The 7,102-nt window shown below is 48.7% G+C and overlaps 1 pseudogene, besides 1 other annotated feature; it reads left to right on the top strand.

Moving 5' to 3' along the window:
• Window positions 3,923–4,424: an enhancer, noted in NCBI's record as "H3K27ac hESC enhancer chr3:11940509-11941010 (GRCh37/hg19 assembly coordinates)". NCBI's record gives its function as "activates a minimal SCP1, AML or CMV promoter by ChIP-STARR-seq in primed H9 embryonic stem cells {active_cell/tissue: H9 hESC(primed)}" and the evidence as "EXISTENCE:reporter gene assay evidence [ECO:0000049][PMID:30033119]".
• NUP210P2 (nucleoporin 210 pseudogene 2) lies at window positions 4,892–6,132 on the top strand (annotated as a pseudogene).

Genomic DNA, 7,102 nt, shown 5'->3' on the forward strand with positions numbered 1-7,102 from the left:
TAGCATCAACAGCAACAAAAGGACATACACACCAAAACCCTATCTGCAGGTCACCATCATCAAAGACCAAAGGTAGATAAAACCACAAAGATAGGGAGAAATCAGAACAGAAAAGCTGAAAATTCTAAAAACCCCAGAGCGCCTCTTCTCCTCCAAAGGATCGCAGCTCCTCGCCAGCAACAGAACAAAGCTGGACGGAGAATGACTTTGACGAGTTGACAGAAGTAGGCTTCAGAAGGTCGGTAATAACAAACTTCTCCAAGCTAAAGGAGGATGTTGAACCCATTGCAAGGAAGCTAAAAACCTTGAAAAAAGACTAGAAGAATGGCTAACTAGAATAAACAGCATAGAGAAGGCCTTAAATGACCTGATGGAGCTGAAAACCATGTCACGAGAACTACGTGACACATGCACAAGCTTCAGTAGCCGATTTGATCAAGTGGAAGAAAGGGTATCAGTGATTGAAGATCAAATGAATGAATGAAGCAAGAAGAGAAGTTTAGAGAGAAAAGAGTAAAAAGAAACAAACAAAGCCTCCAAGAAATGTGGGACTATGTGAAAAGACCAAATCTACATCTGATTGGTGTACCTGAAAGTGACAGGGAGAATGGAACCAAGCTGGAAAACACTCTTCAGGATATTATCCAGGAGAACTTCCCCAACCTAGCAAGGCAGGCCAACATTCAAATTCAGGAAATACAGAGAACACCACAAAGATACTCCTCGAGAAGAGCAACCCCAAACACATAATTGTCGGATTCACCAAGGTTGAAATGAAGGAAAAAATGTTAAGGGCAGCCAGAGAGAAAGGTCAGTTTCCAGCAAAGGGAAGCCCATCAGACTAACAGCAGAAACTCTACAAGCCAGAAGAGAGTGGGATCTCTCAGCAGAAACTCTACAAACCAGAAGAGAGTGGGGGCTGATATTCAACATTCTTAAAGAAAAGAATTTTCAACCCAGAATTTCATATCCAGCCAAACTAAGCTTCATAAGTGAAGGAGAAATAAAATCCTTTACAGACAAGCAAATGCTGAGAGATTTTGTCACCACCAGGCCTGCCTTACAGGAGCTCCTGAAGGAAGCACTAAACATGGAAAGGAACAATTGGTATCAGCCACTGCAAAAACATGCCAAATTGTAAAGACCATCAATGCTAGGAAGAAACTACATCAACTAACGAGCAAAATAACCAGCTAACATCATAATGACAGGATCTAATTCACACATAACAATATTAACCTTGAATGTAAATGGACTAAATGCCCCAATTAAAAGACACAGACTGGCAAGTTGGATAAAGAGTCAAGACCCATCAGTGTGCTGTATTCAGGAGACCCATCTCACGTGCAGAGACACACATAGGCTCAAAAGAAAGGGATGGAGGAAGATCTACCAGGCAAATGGAAAACAAAAAAAAAAGCAGGGATTGCAATCCTAGTCTCTGATAAAACAGACTTTAAACCAACAAAGATCAAAAGAGACACAGAAGGCCATTGCATAATGGTAAAGGGATCAATTCAACAGGAAGAGCTAACTATCCTAAATATATATGCACCCAATACAGGAGCACCCAGATTCATAAAGCAAGTCCTTAGAGACCTACAAAGAGACTTAGACTCCCATACAATAATAATGGGAGACTTTAACACCCCACTGTCAACATTAGACAGATCAATGAGACAGAAAGTTAACAAGGATATCCACGACTTGAACTCAGCTCTCACCAAGCAGACCTAATAGATATCTACAGAACTCTCCACCCCAAATCAACAGAATATACATTCTTCTCAGCACTACATCACACTTACTCCAAAATTGAGCACATAGTTGGAAGTAAAGCACTCCTCAGCAAATATAAAAGAACAGAAATCACAATAAACTGTCTCTCAGACCACAGTGCAATCAAATTAGAACTCAGGATTAAGAAACTCACTCAAAACCGTACAACTACATGGAAACTGAACAACCTGCTCCTGAATGACTACTAGGTACATAACAAAATGAAGGCAGAAATAAAGATGTTCTTTGAAACCAATGAGAACAAAGACATAATGTACCAGAATCTCTGGGACACATTTAAAGCAGTGTGTAGAGGGACATTTATAGCACTAAATGCCCACAAGAGAAAGCAGGAAAGGTCTAAAATTGACACCCTAACATCACAATTAAAAGAACTAGAGAAGCAAGAGCAAACACATTCAAAAGCTAGCAGAAGGCAAGAAATAACTAAGATCAGGGAGGAACTGAAGGAGATAGAGACACAAAAAGCCCTTCAAAAATCAATGAATCCAGGAGCTGGTTTTTTGAAAAGATCAACAAAATAGACTGTTAGCAAGATTAATAAAGAAGAAAAGAGAGAAGAATCAAATAGATGCAATAAAAAATGATAAAGGGGTATCACCACCGATCCCACAGAAATACAAACTACTGTCAGGGAATACTATAAACACCTCTACACAAATAAACTTGAAAATCTAGAAGAAATGGATAAATTCCTGGACACATACACCCTCCCAAGATTAAACCAGGAAGAAGTTGAATCCCCGAATAGAACAATAACAGGCTCTGAAATTGAGGCAATAATTAATAGCCTACCAACCGAAAAAAGTCCAGGACCAGATGGATTCACAGCTGAATTGTATCCCCATCTTAAATTAGGTGCTCTGTCTTGGGAATATTTAGGGACTTTGGCTAGAGGAAGTTGTTGTTATAATGAAAATGTAATCTTTTGCATTAAAGAAATGCATATTTGCCCCCGCCCCCGCCACATCATGAACCTCCCCACCAGAGTGTGCACCTGTTACGCTCTGGAAGCCTGCAGGACACCTCAGTATCACCCAGAGTCCCCAGTTTCCACGCGGGCTCACTCTTGCTGTTGCACAGTCTGTGGGTTTGGACAGATTCATAATGACCCTTAGCCACCATTACAGCATCACACAGAATAGTGTCACTGCCCTATAAGTCCTCTGTGCTCTGCCTGTTCAGCCCTCTCTCCCCCAGTCTTTCTTTTTTTAATTGTAAATTTTGGGATAATTTTAGATTTATGGGACAATTTCAGAGCTAATATGGAAGGGTTCCTGTAAACCATCAGGCAGCCTCCCCTAATACCGGCATCGCAGGTAACCAGGTGTATTTGTCACAGTAAGAGGTTACCATTGGTACCTGACTACGCACTAAACTCTAGACGATTTCAGCTTCACCGGTTTTTCCACGAAGGTCCTTTTTCTGTCCCCAGATGGAATCCAGGACCCTGCGTTTTATGGATTTGTCGAGCCTCGTTAGTCTCCTCTGCCGCATGTGACTTTTCTAATTTGTCCTTGTTTCCACATTCTGTTTTGTGTGCTTGTGTGTGGGAAGTTTAACGCCCTACAAAAAACACCACAGGGCTCTGGTACTGCCAACAGTTGGACACAGTGTTTCCAGCGGGTATGGGCCGTGTTCACAGGCACCTGCTTCCCGTCTCCCGTGTGCGCTTGTGCCTGCTTTGCTGTCTTCTGGGAGTCTGTGCCGTGCTATTTTCTTGGAAGAAATCCACGAGGGGCCACAGACGCACTTCTCTGGGCATAGATTGCTTTCCTTCACTGATTTTCCATGAACTTCCAGTAGAGGTGGTCCAGGCTATAAGGTCCGTCTGCAGGCCACGCGTGGCCGGGCGGTGTTGGAGTAGTCGGCGTGCTCAGGTGTGTTGGAGGGCTGGCCCCCTGTGCCAGCCTGGCCTGGAGAGACACTTGGCATCCAGCCAGAAGGTGGAACGTCTGTCTGGTTGTGTTCCACACCATTGCTTTTTGACACCAGGCAGTTTCTGAAAAGTCTCCTTCAGAATACCCCAGGCTGTGTATGTGCCAGTGAATTTAGGCAAAGTTGAGGAGGATGAGGAAACCCTGGAGTGTCTGCTCTGTGTCAGGTGCTATGCTGGGTGCGGCCCGAGAGACAAGCACCAGGCACTGCTCAGTGGCTCCTCCTGGGGCCTTGGTCACACTGTAAGCTGAGTGCAGCAGGGCCGGCCGCTTCCTATGGCCCTGCCTCACCCCAGGTCCTGCATTCCCTGGGAGGCTTCATACTCCACCTTTGCGCCAGGCCTGAGTGCCCATCTGCAGACAGCATGTACTAGCTGGGAACGCTCAGTGTGGAGTCTGCTGTCCTCTGCCGCTCATCCCCCTCTCATCTGGGCCTGGGGCTGTTATCCCAGTCCATGCCTAAGAAATCAAGGCACTGACACCAGATAGCTACCCGCCCCCACCACCCCAAACACACACGCATACACACACTTCGCTTCCTCCTGTAATCCCCACTAGGGAAATTGGCTCACAGACTGTCCAGGCTCATTTGCGGATGTGTTTATTTGCCTGTGTCCCCACCATAGCTATAATGTGTGCTCCGCAGGTGCTGAGAGCTCGTGCTCTCATTACAGGCAGTGATTTCCAGGATTAGTAGAACCTGTTGGGGTTGGAAGCGGACACCTGGAGCTTGCTGTGTGCCTGGCCTGGGTTAGAGGTCGGCCAAGATGCCTGTGCCCCCTCCCTGTGCCACGTGTCCCCTCACGGGATCCCTTGAGCAGCTTTCCTGCTGGTACTGAACGACTCCCACATCTGCAGGAGTCTTGGACGGTGGCCATCTGTTGAGCCTTGAGGTCATTTCCAGGTGTGAGGTCTCCTGTTTGATTTGCTCCATGGGAACTGTGTGCACAGGCCTGGAGCCCTCACCTTGTGGAGGTCTTAACTGGAGAGGCCTCGGCAGGGCCCCACGTCTCCTCTGGGTTTGAAGCTGGTGTTAGGCGGCCCACCTCACTTCTGTCTTTGGGTCCAGCACTGTGCCCTAGACGGGAGCTACAGCCTGGTGTCTGGACCCCACTGTGCCTTGCAGTGCAGCTCCAGAGAGTAAATGCTGTCTTCTTCCACTGCAGGTTGTCCACCCGGCCGGAGGTGGCCAGCATCGAGTCGCTGGGCCTGGACGAGCAGCAGTGCTCCCAGAAGGCGGTGGTGCAGGCCCACCTGACCCAGCCTGCCCGACTCACCAGCATCATCTTTGCAGAGGACATCAGTAAGGGCTGACTGCCCTTACAGGCATAAGCCACCTCGCTCAGCCTATTTGTAAGGCTTTTGATACATGGGACTTATTGCTTTCCAACAAAACAATCTTAACAATGCATAAGTACCTGGAGAAGAGTCAGAAAAATGTTGTATCCTGCTGCTATCCTTACATTTGAGAATTCCCCGGGTAATGCCATTCATGTACCTTTTTTATGGAGCAAGTAAAAACCATCTGTATGAGTGTCCATGTGCCCCTTCTACATTATACTTGATAATCATATAAATACACCATCATAGGCCAGGCGCAATGTCTCACACCTGTAATCCTAGCACTTTGGGAGGCCAAGGCAGGAGGATTACTTGAGCTTAGGAGTATAAGACCAGCCTATGCCACAAAGCAAGACCTTAACTCTATAAAAAAGTTTTTAAAAATTAGCCAGGCATGGTGATGTATGCATGCTTGTGGTCCCAGATACTAGGGAGGCCAAGGCAGGAGAATCAGTTGACTCCGGGAGCCACTGCACTCCAGCCTGGGCAACAAATTGAGACCCTGTCGCAAAAGAAACAAAAATAAACAAAATCACCAGTGTAATTCCTAATCTCAGTGGAGGGACAGGGCTCTCATCTTTGGGACGGGAACTCATCCATATTGTAGCACTTGTCACTTCACTGAATGGTTACACCCTGAACAAAATGAAGTTTTCCTGGAGTTTTCTTTGCCCACAGCTTTAAATGCTGATTCCCCGCTGGAAAAGCCAGACCAGGTGGTGACAAGGCCCCCACAGCCCTTCCTTTCTGGTAGTCCCTGTTAACTTTCAGTGGGGCCACGTGCGAGGCAGCTGCTTGGCTTCTGAGGGTGAGGCTGGTGGTCGCTGTGGTCTTTGCCAAAGTGTAAGTCTGCAAGGCTTGGAGGTGGCGCCAGGGGCAGCTGCTGTCTTCAGTGCTGACTTCTCCCTGGGGTTCCTCCAGCCACAGACCAGGTCCTGCACTGTGACGCCACCGTGGACCTCATCCCCGGCATCCAGATCGTCTCCACCACCCGCAAGCTCAACCTGGAGGACTCCCCCCTGGAGCTGAAGATCCAGGCCCTGGACTCTGAGGGTGAGGACGTCCCCCTGCCTGTTTGTCCTCTGCAGCCCATGCTGGATTGTCCCTCTCCTCTGAACCTGGCCTCTCTGTGTTCCCCACTCCTCTGGCATCCAACCCTGCAGGTCCCCTAGAGGGCAGCTTCAGTCAGGGAGGTGAAGGTGCTGCTGGCGGAGGTGCTGAAGAGGCAGAACCCACCTGTGAGGTGGGCCCCAAGCCCTGGGTAGAATCGAGCCTGGCGCTCAGGGGCCCCTGCAGCAGGGTCTGTGTGCTCAGAGCTGTGGCGGACCCTGGAGCCAGACCCTGCTGGTCACAGCGCTGGTCCTTGGTGCAGCACATCTTGGGGAAGCCAACATTCTCAGCCATGATGAGAGGCTAGGAGAGGCTGGCTGGGGCCATGCCTCCTGCTCCGGCTTTCGGGGCAGGTTTTGCTTCCTGGTCCAGACCTTAGAGCCAGTGTGCCAGGCAGGGAAGGTCCTTTTATTCTGGAGGAGACTGAAGCATGGAGTGGGGTGAGATTCAGGGTGTACAGGTCCCTGCCTGTCAGCATGGGATTCACCTTTTTTCTCTAAGCAGAGGGAAGCTGAGGAAAGGGTGGGTGCAGAAGGTGATGGGATCCTGTCTGCAGGGTTTATGGGGAGTATAAGCTGTTCTTGGGAGCAGAATGAGCAAAGTTTGAGTCCACCTTGCGGCCAGGCATTCCTACGGGCACTTCACACACCCTAGCTCATTTCCCGTATGGCGACTGGACGATGCATAGAGAATGAACACACCCACACGCTCACCCGAGTGTGCACACACAGAACCCACACGCTCGCCAGAGTGTGCACACACACAGAGAACCCACACGCTCACCCGAGTGTGCACACACAGAGAACCCACACGCTCGCCAGAGTGTGCACACAGAGAACCCACACGCTCGCCAGAGTGTGCACACACACAGAGAACCCACACGCTCACCCGAGTGTGCACACACAGAACCCACA

The sequence above is a fragment of the Homo sapiens genome, chromosome 3, assembly GCF_000001405.40.
Source record: "Homo sapiens chromosome 3, GRCh38.p14 Primary Assembly".
Taxonomy (NCBI): domain Eukaryota; kingdom Metazoa; phylum Chordata; class Mammalia; order Primates; family Hominidae; genus Homo; species Homo sapiens.